Source organism: Homo sapiens, chromosome 3, assembly GCF_000001405.40.
Source record: "Homo sapiens chromosome 3, GRCh38.p14 Primary Assembly".
NCBI lineage: Eukaryota > Metazoa > Chordata > Mammalia > Primates > Hominidae > Homo > Homo sapiens.
The window spans coordinates 8,979,955-8,994,798 of NC_000003.12; the positions used below are offsets into that span (position 1 = coordinate 8,979,955).

The 14,844-nt window shown below is 50.1% G+C and overlaps 1 protein-coding gene across 15 annotated transcripts in view, besides 2 other annotated features; it reads right to left on the reverse strand.

The window, feature by feature from the left end:
• Positions 1-636: 636 nt before the first annotated feature.
• SRGAP3 (SLIT-ROBO Rho GTPase activating protein 3) overlaps positions 637-14,844 on the reverse strand; it is a 382,437-nt gene continuing 368,229 nt past the window's right edge. For 11 of the 15 annotated variants that reach the window (XM_024453843.2, XM_047449333.1, XM_024453842.2 and 8 more), the window contains 4 exons: positions 14,389-14,569; positions 12,952-13,101; positions 10,558-10,885; positions 637-5,978 (listed from right to left, as the gene is read on the reverse strand). In XM_024453843.2, the coding sequence (XP_024309611.1) occupies positions 5,565-5,978; positions 10,558-10,885; positions 12,952-13,101; positions 14,389-14,569 (1,073 nt within the window). In that variant the 3' untranslated portion in view covers positions 637-5,564. The remainder of the gene's footprint in view (positions 5,979-10,557; positions 10,886-12,951; positions 13,102-14,388; positions 14,570-14,844) is intronic. The other 4 variants (XM_047449335.1, XM_047449336.1, XM_047449334.1 and 1 more) reach the window with 1 other exon arrangement.
• Positions 7,090-7,590: an enhancer, noted in NCBI's record as "H3K4me1 hESC enhancer chr3:9028728-9029228 (GRCh37/hg19 assembly coordinates)". NCBI's record gives its function as "activates a minimal SCP1, AML or CMV promoter by ChIP-STARR-seq in naive H9 embryonic stem cells {active_cell/tissue: H9 hESC(naive)}" and the evidence as "EXISTENCE:reporter gene assay evidence [ECO:0000049][PMID:30033119]".
• Positions 7,591-8,091: an enhancer, noted in NCBI's record as "H3K4me1 hESC enhancer chr3:9029229-9029729 (GRCh37/hg19 assembly coordinates)". NCBI's record gives its function as "activates a minimal SCP1, AML or CMV promoter by ChIP-STARR-seq in naive H9 embryonic stem cells {active_cell/tissue: H9 hESC(naive)}" and the evidence as "EXISTENCE:reporter gene assay evidence [ECO:0000049][PMID:30033119]".

Here is a 14,844-nt window from a genome sequence, read left to right on the forward strand (position 1 = left end):
GGACTGAATTCAAATTCTGGCTTCTCTACTTCCTAGCCTAACCTTGGGCAAGCTGTTTAGCCTCTCAGAGCCTCAGTTTCCTCATCTGCAGGACAGAGTATAATAATGATACTTACCTTCAATGGTGTATTGAGAATTAAATGAGAAAATACAGGTAAAGGGTTTAATCTAGTGGCTGGGACAGAAATAAGTGGTCAATAAACAGTTCACAAACACACACAGGTAAAAACAAAAGTCCAAGAGGTTATATGACGTTTGTAGACAATGAACATCAAAATGTTGCATGTGCCTTGATGTATCAGTACCCAGTGGCCTCTGATAATTTATCTTAAACTTTTGAAGACACTTTCTGCAGATGACAGCTACTACTCCCAACTTGCCTTTGCTTTGACATTTCCAAACCCTCTTTCCCCAGCAGTCATCCTACAGTTAGTTACCTTCTTCAGTTAGCTCTACAATGGAAGTGGTCCTCCTTGTAACCTTACCTTCATCTTGTTGGATCTGAGCTAATGGACATTTCAAAGGTGTTTCCTGGGGGAAGCAGGCAGACAGTGTGGACTGGAGGATGGGGACTCCCCCCAGGACCTCTCCACCCCTGATGTGCCACCTCGCCCTTTCAAAAACCACTGGAGCATGTTTGAGAAAAGTTAAGCTGTTTTATTTCACAGGATAGCTCCACGTCAAACCAGCAGGCACCATCAGAATACGCGACAGAGGATCCAATCAGACACTCTATAGGACGGGCGTTTGGTCGTAAGGTAGAGAAACGATATCCAGAAGAGGGCAACATTTATCATCACGTGGGGACAGGCAACCAGCAATTTCCTAGGGTGGTTTTGGTCTGTTTTTCCTGTCACAATTTGGGGAGGAAGGAAACCAAAGGAAACAAAATAGACCAGCCACTCTGAAGCAATCAGAATCAAACCTATTGCCAAACCATGTAAACAGTCACACTGCCGGGAACAAGGGCCTGGGCAGAAACCCTAGCCAGGATCTACTTCCGTCTAAGGAAGGAAAAGTGCACTCTGGTTGTTCTGGTTCAAGGAACAGCTTTGTTATTGGCCGGGGACAACTCACACAGAAAGGAGGTGTCAACAAGGGGCAGCGATGGCCATGTGGCCAGTCCCAGAGGGACAGCAGGACACTGGCAGATCAATCTCAGGGAGGTCAGGAGGGCTTGGACCTGACAGCAAAGTCCCTTCTCTCGGCTCCCCTGGGCAGCTTTGGATATGTGGGGAATGTTCTATGTGGCTGCTCAGAGGAGAGGAGACCCCAGAGAACCGGGGAAGTTGACATGAAATGTCAGCATTAGCTCTGCACAGCAGAAAATCAGCTAGGCAACACCTCGGCTCACCCCTTTCTGCCTTTCCTCCTGGCCGCCACCCCGACTCCCAGCCCAGCAGGGGCTAACCCCATGGTTGTGAGCCAGCCACTCTTCTTTCTGGGTTTCTCAGGAGAGTGAGGCATTTGCACTAGTGTGGAACCATCTGGATGTGTGAAAAGTTAGGAATAGAAAGACTGAGAGGAAGAACCATTACCCGAGTCCTCGTGTTTTTCCATTAGCTGTGGACATGCACTGAATGCCACATCACGACCAGGTCACGAGAAGTCCTCCACATTCGTGCCTCCTGAATGACAGAGAAATATACCCAACAAGGCACTCCAAGGGACTCCAACAGAGAAGAAAGCCCCACATAAAGGCCCCTTCCCACACTGGTTCCTCTTTGTGTACCACAAACCGGTTTTAAATGTTTATAAGGCAGATCTCTGAACTGCTGGTTCCAGCCGATAGCCAAAATATGGCTCAATTTCCCTGTGTCTCTTCCCACTCCGATTTCTTCATTGAATAGAAACCTTTCATCCCTTGGGAATCCATCTCTCTCCTGACCCCTGGCCTGGTGACTTCAGAGAAAAGACTCCAAAGTCTAATTCCCAAGCTCGCAATTCCCTCCGATTGTGCACTCTGTCCGGGGTTCAAAAGGCGCTTCGAGGTGAGAAATCGTTAGCACTGAAACAAGGAAAGGCAAGAATTTTTCATAGAATCCCACAGCTCAGAGCAGCTCTTTAAGAGGAAAAGGGAATAAAAGGGGACGGGGAGAGTGGGGTAGGAAGCACAGCTTGTTCTCAATTTTATCCAAAAAGCTCTTTAGTGGCAGCTGAGCCACAAGGCCCAGGAAACTAGACCAGGAATTAATTGTCTTTGGTCAGTTTTAAATGAACAACTTGCTGGTTCATTCCTAGAATAGACTGAACGTCGGTTACACATAAAGACAAAAGGCTTGACCTCAGGATAAGTCGAAGGTTAAGAAAAGAAATCATTCCATGAAGCAAAGAAAAAAAAATGCCCGTTGTCAACTAACTGATCAGTACGGCTTTCAATAATGGTGATGAACAAGTAGGTAAACACCACTTCCCCTTGTACAATTGGTTATATTGAAGACTACTAACTAGGTTACTACATTTCCCCCACACTCACTGTACAGTTAGGTATTTGTTTTTACATTGATCTATCTACTAGGTGCAAAGATTTGGTGAGTGGCATTGGCTAAAATTTAATTGTAGCCTTTTTAAAAATTACAATTTCACATTTTAACAGTTACTTTCCAGCATTTAAGCAAATACAGCAATATATAGTGGACTAAAACAGGCAGGAGTCAGAAAGAGAAAGCCAATGTTCAGTGAACGTCGATGGGACTGAGTGCTGTGGAGGGTGAGTGAGACATGCATAGTGCCAGATGAGGAAGTGGGAACAGGGGAGGGGGGCGGGAAAGTATTTTTCCACTTGGCCTGCGTCAAGGCTCAGATCTGGGGCTGGATGAGTGGGGAGACGTCTGCCATCTGTGTGTGTACATCCCTAAATGTGAACTCATCAGCCATTTCCCAATGGAAAAAAAAAAAAAAGGTGCTTAAAGAAAACAGCTAAGACTCTGCCCTCAGAAAATTCAGTGAAAGGCAGGTCCATTTTCAGTAAGAAAAAAACAAAATCAGTCAATTCAGAGAAAAATCCACACGGTCTGATTGGTGTTATGTATATCAGGCAACAGATTTTTCTACTCTGATTGTTGCTTTTCATCTGGCAGTTGTGGCAGATTGCTATATTTTGCCTGGGAGGCTACTGGATTTAGGATCTGGGAGTATCTTGAGGGTAGAAATCAGAAGTCTTGTGTCCTGGCTGGACAGTATAGCATCCAGCATGCAAACACATGACTTTAAGAGCCTGACGCAGCCTCTGCTCCTAGCCAGTGTCAAATCTTGGGCAGGTCACAGCACAGCCCAAGGCCTTACTCTCTTAAGCTGTAAAATGGCAATATCTTTCTGTGCTCCAAGCAGATGGCCTTTCATATCCAGGAGCTAAAGAGAAGGGTTCATTCTAGGCCAAACAAGGGAGGTCAAGTTTGACACTGGCCTCTCCCTGAGATCCCTTTTTTTGTTCCTCTCCTGATGCTCCCTTCCACTGTGGGGTGTCAAGTCCAGTCCTTCAGACGAGGTAGTGGCTTTACCCTCCTAACTTATCTAGGTGCCAGTGACTTAACTAGGTCCCTCCCTTTGGGTGTATTTACCTTTTCGCGGGGGACCAGAGGAGAGGGCACCACTTCATCCAATGGGCTGAAATGTTAATGATGGAATCCAGGGCTCTTATTAGGATGGCAGGAAAATTCCACTGCTCACTTCTGAAATGCCATTGGGAGGTTTCAAAAAGAAGGGCTGGAGGGCTCTGATCTAAGACTTACCTTACTAATGATAATCACAAACGCATTGTATTGATTCAGTGTTTTCCAGTGTACACAGCTTGCTCACTGATGTTTGACCTTTATTACCCTATTTTATGGAGCAGAACAGTCAGGCTCAATGAGGTGGAGTGACAAACCCTAAGTCAGAAGGCTCCTAAGTGCTCAGGGCTGGGACTCAGACTCTGGGCCTTTTGACTCCAAACTTCAGTGGCCTCGAGAGAGAGGAAGCGTGGGAACAGTAGGGAAAAGCCCCTGGGTCTCGCAGGAGAGGGTAAGTAACAGCGGCCCACAGGGCACACAGATTTGCCCGTGTGCCATTATCCAGAAACAGCTCATCTCTGGAAGTGATCAGAAGAGGAGGTAAAATGGAATCGAAGGAGAGCGACCCGGAAGGGCTTTACTTGGCCAAGAGGCAAAGGCCTGGCTGTCACACGTGAAGATCATGCACCCATTTCTATCACCACATTTTCATCTACACTAAATGTTCTGGAGGGAGTGGGTGAAGGGGGAGGGAAGGGAAGCTATGTCACTTGTATTAACTCAACTGACAGTGTCCTCTAGGACAGAAAGTGCCAAGGACTGCCCCTCCCTGGCCCCAGTCTGAACTGGGCGCTCACGGCTCATGCGTTTCATGCAAGACGGCACCAGCCACAGTGCATCACAGCCTGATTTAAAATGAAAACGATGTGACTCAAAGCCTCCTTGCCTGTTTAGTTCCAAATCTGACACAGTATAATTAGTAGAACCAGGAAAAGAAAAAATTAAATAGTTTGAAAATGATATAAGTTAAACCTCTATAGTTACCACAGATTTATTCCTACAGCATTTCTAGGTTTTGGAGTATTCCACACCACTGTATTTTTATTTTTCCCAACCACATGTAATACTGTGCTACGATGGGGCTTAGGTTCTCACTATCCCCCGTCTCTACACACAAACACAAGGATGTGGTAGTCAGGGGTCTTCTCGCCAACCTTCTCCCATGCCTTTGGGAGTACAGTTGGCCTTTGGCCTCCGGGTGGAAGGGCAGGGTCTCTGGGGTGGACGGGGGTGGGGATTTCCTATGAAGGGTTCCCCACCTCTGGGAGCAGCCTGCTTGGGGGTACTGCCTGCCCCACCCTTCCTTGAGGGGCAGACTGTTCTGGAAGGCCACGACTTCTGGAGACAGTGGGAGTCTGTTTTTGTTTGTGTTTTTCTGCAGGTTAGTGGTATATTGCTTCATTCGCAGTTACTATGGGCCTTTAAGTTCTCCCAGAAAAGTCCCTGCAAATCCCACCAAATAACTCGGTGGGAGATGTTTGGTGGCATGGATCTGAGGTAAATCTAAGTTTCATAAAAAGAAAAAGGAGATACTATATACACTTAGTATGCGTGTGTCCAGATCTAGTATATGTATATAGATGCATAAATATATATATATATACACACACCTACAGACACGTACATACGTATACATGTGTATATATGCACACATCGATATACACACACATATACGTATGTAGAGAGAATGTCGAGAGAGGAAGTTTCCAGTGACGATATGCGGGAGAAGCCATGTGGTATTTTGCCTCCATGTTAGGGAATGCTGTGGTTGGGGCTGCTGGAGCTCCAGCACTCCTCTGGTCGTCTGTTGACACGCGAGAGGTCCGTGGGATTCCCATGGCTGGACGTGAGCTGCAGCCAGCGCCCGGGCCTCAGCTCTGCACAGACACACCCTCCCAGACGGACCTCTGCCCTCCAAGGCCAGGGTCACTGGGAAGCACGTGGAAGCCACCAAGGCCACCCTGGGCCGTGGTGAGCCACAGCGGGCCACGGCGGCGCGGCCCATCCTGCAGGTCACATGGTGCCCGACTTGTCCGCTGAGCTGTTGGGGAACATCTTCTCGGTGGGCGTCACGGCCGGGCTGCCCACGCCCGAGCTGCTGCTGCTGCTGGACCGGTGCTGGACCACCGGCCGCACGGGCCGCATGGGGGGCGGGCGGAGCTGGGCGCCAGCCAGGCGGGCGGACAGGGCTGGCTTGAAGGTGGTCATCATCTCGGTGGAGGAGCTGCTGCTGCGGCGCATGGCGGCATCGGGGTCGCGGATGACGATGGTGTGAAGGGGACTGGCGGGCTCCGAGCTGACGGGGCCTGGCGGGTTCTTCAGGGGCTCCAGGGTGTCCAGCACCACATCTGGCGCCTGCTTGACCGTGTTCTGCCTCTCGAGTTCCCGCAACTCGTGCAGAGCCGTGCTCATGGTCTTCTCGATGTCCTGGGGACAGAGGGAGCTGGGGTCAGCACAGTCTGGAGACCTGGAGTCAGGTCCTTCCTGTCTGCTAAGCAGCTTCCCTTCGTAGGCAGGTTCCCCAGAAGCCTCGCGGCAGGGATGGAGATTAAGTCCTCAGGATGTCTTATAACCACATGGGAGAACCAATGTGGATATCCCCTGCATGCTGCCTTGCACAGGAAATAGATTTCATAAGGGCAGGTCAGACTACTGATAAAGAGGGCAGGCTCTGGAGTCAGACAGACACGGATTCAAATCCTGGCTCTGCCACTTCCTTGCTATGTGACCTTATGCAAGTTCCCTCATCCCTCTGAGCCCCCAGAATCCTCATTTGTAAATGGCAGATAATTATAATATGGACCTCAGGGAGTTGATGAGTGCATTAAATGATACAGTCCCTGTGAAGAGCCTGGCCTGACCCCTGGCACAGAGTAAGCACTCAAAAATACGAATGACAATAGCAATAGCAATAATAGCTAACACTGAGCACCAATCCAAACCCTGCCCCCTAATAATTCATTTAATCCTCACACTTCTAAGGTAGGAACTACCTTTATGCTCATGTCACACAGGAGGAAACTGAAGCTCAGACTGGTTAAGTAACTTGCCCAAGGTCACACAGCTAATTAGCAGCATAGCCCAAGTCTGAACCCAGTCAGTTCAGTATTTTTTTAAAAATCCTTGCTCACAGAAAAATTTCTTGGAGATTATGTATCAGAATGTTCACAGCGCACATCCCAGAATAGAGGGACTGCTACTCTCTTCTCTGTATTATAATCAGAAAATTTTTTTAAAAAGTGGAAATTTTAACAGGCCAGAAAAATCTTCTTCTGCCTACATAATTCCCGAGGATGTTATAATATCTGAGAGCTCATCAGGAGGAGAGCACTCTGATTGAGCACTCTGAAGGACTCAGAGAGAGCGAGCCCCCTGCCACCCAGGGCAGCCCGGGCTCACCATGCCACAGGGCAGCTTCCCTCAGCTCCCGTCCCCTCATGCCCAAGGTGGTGCTGTAGCTGGAAGGCAGCATTTAACCCAAGAGCCCTGGGACAGGCCACAGGGCCCCGGACTTTTGAGTAAAAAGAATCTGTGGCCAGTTGCTGGCCGTGTGACCCTGAGCAAATCTCAATCACTCTGCACCATATTTTGTTCATCTATTACAATCCCAGACATTTACTGTGAATATGGGGTGAGATAATGGATGTGATGAAGCTTTGTAAACTGCCAGGTGGTGGTTTTCAAAATCCTTCTAGCCCAAGAGCCCCATGGGTTCCCATGACTGTTGACTGGGATGCCTCCGCATCCGACAGACATGAGAGGACCTGCTCAGGCTCAGCTGAGCCACAGCCCAGCTGGCTTGGCCATCGAGGGCACCATGAGGGATACTGCCTAAGCCACCACTGGTAGGTGCCGTGCATAACCTCATGGAGGAATGATGACTATTAAGACAGGCTTGCTTTATTGCAAATCCTAAAAAAAATAAATAAAAAGTATGAGTCTGGTGAAACAGATGGTGGGGTTGGAGCCTGGAGATGCTGGGGCCGGCCCCTTTCTGCACCCTGGTCTTTTACATTCTCTCCCTCCCCTGTCTGCAGGTGGCTTCCTGCCTGCCCTAGGCCACATGGCAGGCTTCAATCTGGCTGGGGTCAGGGCCCAGAGCTCTTGCTCCCCGCATTGTCACAGCCTGTCCTTTTTGTTAGGGGACTATGGATGTCTGGCTAATGGCTAATATTAGCTTGTACGCTTCTCCAGGATGTTTCATCCGTTGCCCCAGAACACCGGCAACTTTAAGAAAGGGTGTTTTGTGCCTTATCCAAAAGGAGGCGCTGTGGGGGCAATTTTCTGCAGGAAGGGAGGGAAGGCAGACCTCTCCCCATCTCTGCCATGTGCCAGCCCTGCAGTGACACAGCCGGCTTTCCTGGAGCCGAGCCGCCCTATCATCAACCACTCCGCTTGAAGGAAGCCCCCTATTGACCTCACTACTCTCTATTTGCTCTAGTCCAGCATGAGCTGCATGGTGAAACTTTAACACATAAAATGTAATTACTGCCCCTCTACCACCATCCCCACCCGCCCCACCACTCTACCCCAGCAGAGTAAGCAGAAAGACAGGAAGTTCAGAGAAAGATCAGCTGAGTTGTTTAGGCTGCAGCCTTGCATTAGTCCGAGAGGTGGCGCTGTGAGTCTCCAGAGCTGAGCGGCAGAGAGGCCCTGGGAGACAGAGTGGGGACCGTGATTGCTTTTCATCTCCTCCCCAATTCGATCTTCCCACTTTGGATGGTCATGTTGCAAGTTCCCCAAACAGCCTCTTTAAGTGGGTTCACATCTAAATCCTAAGGGACATTTTGAGACCAAAGAAATTTGGGTCACTCGGCCTACTACCTGGGGTTCTTCAGCTGCCACTCCCCTTTGCAGCCTGCAAAGTCAAGGGCTCATCAGAGCCAATGCTGAGGCTGGAAACTCTCCAGTGGCAGTGGGTTACTTACATATCATTTACTACAATTCCCTATTTGACCTCTGTTAGTGAAAGGGGGTCTTGGATGGCAGCTGTCAAACTAGACAGGGTGCAGATCCATCTGCAAACTGAGAACACATGCAGCAGGCCCCAAGTGCATTCCAGGGGCAGGTCGTGCAAAACGCTCCATGAATAAAGGTCACAGAAGTCTGGGATATGGGGCATGCCCTGTTTTCTTTCTTGGAGATTCACAGTGCACATCTTTTAAAGCAGCAGTCCCCAACCTTTTTGGCACCAGGGACCGTTTACGTGGAAGACAATTTTTCCACAGATGGGGGGTCAGGAGGATGCTTTCGGATGAAACTGCTCCACTTCAGATCAGGCATTAGATTCTCCTCAGGAGAGCACTACCTAGATCCCTCACATGCGCAGTTCACAACAGGGTTCACGGCCTGTGAAGATCTAATGCCCCCGCTGATCTGACAGGAGGCAGAGCTCACGCAATAATGCTGGCTCCCGCTGCTCACCTCCTACTGTGCAGCCTGGTTCCTAACAGGCCACAGATCCATCCATGGCCCGGGGGCTGGGGGTGCCTGCTTTAAAGGTTTTATAAGTCTTACAGAGAAGCCACTCAACTTTGTCAGAGCAGCATTCCCCAAACCTTGCTGACCACAGAACATGTATTCCCTACCCACTCCCTAGCATCCTGTGGGACTAATCTGCTGTGAGAGCTACTTTTAGAAACAGTTTTCTAGACTGCATTTGATTCTTTATAAATGTAAAGGGCCCTGGGGCAGGCCTCAGGCCATCCTCTATCATAACTGGTAGAACTTTCTAGACTGGTAGAGTTTCCAGATGATGGTGGGTGCTAGGGTGATGTTTCCTCAAGTATGGGGGGGACCAGCAGCTGGCATGCCTCCTCGGAAGGCACTGATCTTCAGGGACCCCTGGGAATGGGCATGGGGCCAAACTAGAGCCTGCTGGTGTGAACAGGAGTACTCATTGCTAGGTGAGCTGTTTCTGTGTTGTGTATTCCCTGGGAACCCTGCCTGGCCTCCTCTAGAACACAGCTCATGACTCCCTGCCCTTCTTCCTTCTCCTTTTGAACAGCGATTCAAAGGCTACTCTCCACAGTAAAATTCTCACAGACCAGAAGGTTCTGATTGTCTCTGTTACCTTATGTGGGAGAGAACACTAGGGAGAGGGTACATAATGGGCCCCCACACCAAATTCCAGAGACAAAAAAAATGGAAACTTCTCAAAATATGATAGAACTGTCAAAAAACCCATGAAACCGGCTATGCAAACTGTTAAACAAATCACAGTTCTATTCATTTGGCAAATGTAAAAATCATATAGATTTTTCATCCAAATACAAAACAAACAAACAAAAGCCAACCCTCTAAGCACTTGAGAAGAACCTGGAACATTCTTCTCTTGCAGCTTCGGCTATTTAGCTCTGCCCACCCTTTGGGTCTCAGGTCAAGTCCTCTCCAGAGAAGTCTCTCCCTGCCTAGGTGCAATCCTCACATTTTAGGCTCTCAAAATACTTTGGACCATTCCTTAAAGGCACCCAACCAAACAACTATTTCACAACTGTGTGTGTGTGTTTGTTGATGTCTCTTTCTTCTCTAAACTGTAAGCTCCATGTGGGCAGGGCCTGAGTCCATTTTAGATCTCCATTTTACTGTTGGTGGCTAGCATGGTGACGGCCACATGATAGATGCTCAATCAATATTTGCCAGTGAATGAATTGATGAATGAAGAGAGAAATGAATGAATGAGTGAATGAATGAGTCAAAAACTGAATCGTATCATTTTGTGTAGTGACCTGCCATTACCCCAGCCCCATAATCTGGCCAATGCCCTCTCCAGCCCTGGACACTGGGGGTGTTCAGCCTCTATCGGAACCCTAGCAGTGGCTGCTCCCAACCAGTCTCCACTCCCACGGGAAGCCCAGCAAGGGACGGGGAGGCCACTCACTCTCCTGTTCTCTGGCTTAGCCATGAGCCTGGCATAAAGGCCAAGGTGGCTCCCCGCTCCACGGATTCCCACCCGCTGCCCTCTGGGGCTTTTGGCTGCCCAGCCTGCCTTCCCGCTGGCCCTTACTTCTGCCAGGGCCTCGGCCTCCAGGGACTTGTGGTCCCCTAGGCTGCTGTGCCTGGTGGAACCGCAGGTCGACCTCATCGAGTGCCCTTCGGAGAGCGCCTTCTTGTCAGGGTAGTTGATGCTGCCAGCGCTCCCGAACGTCGCCATCCTCCGCTTCTCAGGGCTCTCGATCCTCCCCCGGGTGAGGGGGATTTTGTGGGGGCTGCTGGGGCAGGCAGCAGCCCGGGGTGGTGTGTCTATGCTGGGGCCCAGGCCCCGGGGCGGGCTGTGTGTGTCGCCCCCGCTTCGGCGTCTGGGGATGGCTGCTCCATCAGATCGTAACCGCACTCTGCAAAGGAGCCAGGGGGCGAGGGGCATGGGGCAGAGGTCAAGCCTGGCAAGTCTCAGAATGGGTGAGTCAACCCCATGCCACACACTACACGCTAGTCTAAGGAGCGGGTACAGTAAAGCCTCATTCAGCCAGACCCTACAATTCCATAATGAAAGAGCTGGCTCAGCACACAGCTCAGCAGCAGGGGGAGGTCTAATCTGTAAACATGAAAGCATTTGGAGCACGGTGCTTCCAGGCCACAGACAGCTGTGCCGCCAACCGCAAAATGCATCTGGTCTACATGCTAAGTCAAGGCCTACAGGATTCCAACCCTGGAAACGCTTTGGTGATGGTTAGTTGGGCTCATGATACCCTCTGAAGCAGTTCAGACTTTTCCATGATTCTGAGGGGCTTCTAATTGGTCTGAAGCTTTGAGGCTTGACTGTACCAAAGTTACCAGCACCCTGCAAGCACAGTTGGGGTCCCCTGGGAACTGAAGACACTCTAACGTTGCCACCCAACCCCCAATCTCCCCAGAAGAGGGCTCCTTCTGCGAGGCTTTTTTGGATCTTGGAAAACTAGTCATTCAAGAGTAAACACTGCATGGCTGGACAGCCCTTTTGTGCATTTGGTACCTTTCCCACTTCAGGGAGGCTCTGGTGTGGTGAAAAGGGGATTAGGTTGTGTTTCAGGAAGGTGAGTTCTTGCCCTGTGTCTGCCGCGTGCTTTCCTGTGTCCTCTCTCAAGCCCACTTTATTAATCTGTGAAGCGGGTTTAAGCAAGATCCTTTGCCCACCCTTTACCTTTGCTTCAAGTGGGTTTGAAAGCACCTTGAAGATAAGAGGTTCTATACACAGGAGATTTGGCTGCATCCTACAGAGGTCACCAAGAGTCTGAAGGGCTAGAAGTGGTGAGGGGAGAGGGAGAGGGACCGTGTGTTGGGAATGGATTATGACTAGGGACCACCAGTGATTCAGATCCTAGTGCCACCAGCCAAGCTAAGCAGTGCTTGTGGGTGCCCCAGCAGGACCAAAGCATAGGTATTGGAAAGGAAGCAGTACTTAGAAAGAAAGAACAAGAACAAAGGAGGTGAGGGCGGGGGACAAGGGAGAGGAAAAGAGAGGCAGAAGATATGGTCCTCCTAGAAGTCAGGGGACCATAACTTCTTTGTCTACCTACGCCAGCCTTCCACTTCCCTGACCTTCTCAATTCCACCACAGTGCCCCGAGCTATCTGCTGAACTGAATGGAATTTGCAGAAAAGAGGCATCAGGATTTTTGCTGAAATAAATTCATAAATTGTGTGTTCCCACTGTGACTGATTTTTTTGGGGTCTATCTGCAAATACCTACATGTGTGGGCTGACCACATGACCCCTCCACTGGAAAAAACATAGAATATGACATTTTGAGAGTGTGACTAAAAAGGCAGTGAGAAACTGTCAGCTTTTCTTTTCTTTTCTTCTTATTTCCTCATTAATTTTTTAAAAAATAACCACATACTTTGGATTATACCTGTTCTCAGAAGGACATGCACAGCTCCTTGCCTGGTAGAAAGGTTATGTGACACAGCCTGGCCCACACATAGGGAGCGAAGAAATTGGTAATACTGCTCCCTCCAAATAAGTGGGTGGAGTCGAGTGTCAATTTCCTTCAACACATGAGTAGGTGTGAGTTTTCTGTTTATGTAGCGCGTTTCAGGGAATATGTGAGCTTTACATTTTTAAATATAACAACTCAGTTCTACAACAGAAAGCTGGAAGGAGGTGCAGGAACTGGACACAGGTAGGAAAAATACTTGCCAATTTGTATCTCTCTCACACATTATTATTATTTTAAATAAAAAAGCACTGGGTTCCCAACACATGTCTTTCCTCCTCCTCCTCCCTGCAACACAGGCTGGATGGTTCTATACCTGGCCTTCTTGGGCCAATGCCAGCCAGCCCGCCCAGTGTGCCCATTTCATTTTGTGGGGAACAAGGGGCTGCAGTAGGCTCCTTCTCTCCTCTCTGCCCTTGTGCTTCTCCCAAATCAGACATGAACAGGATTGACACCAGCAGGGAAAAAATGAATCCGCATATCCTACCGGCCCATCACCCCCCCAAAGCCGTAATCCGAGATGTGCTCCGTGGGGGACTGGAGGTCGTTTTTGGAAGAGGCCTTGTCATCCAGCAATGGCCCACTGCTGGCCTCGCTGTCAGCCTTCTGGCTCAGGCTGTCGGAGAAGGCATCATCCCTGGGGAGAAGACAGACATGAATTGGAGGCACCTTCCCCCAAAGAACCCAGCATATACAGAGCTCCCTGATATGTGTCTGAGGGGCTGAATTAACACAACTTATGGTTACTTTGTGCCCACAGCGCTTGCTAGGCCACTGCCCACTGGGTGCCTTCCCACCACGCATGCCCATTGCAACACTCCTGGTCAGTTTCCGCAGCTGGGACCCTCTTCTGTCCCACACCTACCTCCTCCTTTTTTCTCTTCTAGCTTGTTCATTCCCAGGCAGCTCCAGGCTAGGACAAGCTAAATGCTGCAGGGTGTGTTGGAGAAATGGGGGGATGGAGTCCGCAGGCTGAGCACCGAGGGCTGAGTGCTGAGTCTCTGTGTGACTTCATGAGAAATGGCTTCTGGCTAAGCAAGGGAGGAAGAAGCTGCCTCTGCCCCTCACCTCCCCACCCAGGGCTTGGGCTACTGTGAGGTGGCTCCCAAGCTTGTTGGGGTGCCCTGCCGGCCTCCTTCCACGGCCCTCTGCTGTGGTGACTTGTCCCTGATCTCAGAGGTCTGGGGACTTCGGGAGGCTGCCAAGGGCCCTCCACTATGGCATTCCTCTGGCAGTCTGCTTGGCCCTGGCCTTTTCTCTGGCTGAGACCCCCTCTCTCCCATCACAATGTGGGCTGTTGATCCCCTTCCCTTGAGGCTCAGCTTGGTGGCTGCCTCTATGGTAAATCTGTTCTGCCGAGCCTGACCAGAGCTCCCAAGGAAGGTGTGCACTGGAAGCTTCCATGGCTTTCAAAGGAATGGAAAGTGCAGACTTTTTGTGGTAGGACTAGGCATTTGGGATGCAGGGCTCTTTTTCATTAACCCCTGAAATTATTTTTTAAAAAATAGTACCCTATTAATCAGAAACAAGGGCATGTTTCTGCCCATCCCCTAAGAGAGCTACCTCTGGAGTGTAGAACCGTAGGCAGGGGAGGCCTAGGAGGTGGAGGCACATGGCAGGATCCCCTGGATACTGAGAGCCCTGGTGGGTGATGGCACTCCCTGGGGGCTGTCAGCTGCATCAGGATGTAGGCCAGAGGCACCCAACACCGTTTCTGTGTGCTCAGAAGGAGGAATTTGGATATCCGTTAAGTGGATCACCATTTAAAGGGAAGTTAGATATTACCCATTGTTAGAGAAGAACAAGCGTATGATATCAAGGAGAGCAAATTGCTGGCATACAAGCTAGCACTCCCCTACGGTGCCCATCCCAGACATCACTAATCTATTTCGGCATTCTTCACAGAATTCTCGACTCCACTCACATGTCCTGTACAACTATGTACTGATGGGGGATGAGTCCATCCACGCCGTTGTGCCGGCCCTCCCACCAGTCCTCCGAGGCGCGGTGGTACAGGAGCAGCGAGGCCCCCTTCTTGAAGGATAGCTCACGCGGGGACCGCCCCATGTAGTCAAACTTGGCAATAGCCTCGATCTGCTCCACTTCTGGAAGGAAATCAAGGGAAAAAGCGTCTCTGAGGTCAGCAAAGTGGCAGCTCAGGAGCCTCACTCAGATGGCCCTGGCTTCTCTGGGGAAGGATAGACTGCACAGCTGGTGAGAACATGGACAGAACGCCTGGTGGGCTGGGGCTCAGGACCCTGGGGTCCTAGCCTCAGATCCACTCTCCACCCTGCAACCTCAGGAAAACCATCAAACCCTCAAAATGTAAAGAGGGAGCTGATACATGCTCCTTTTCCACTGCCCTTCTTGTTCTCTACTT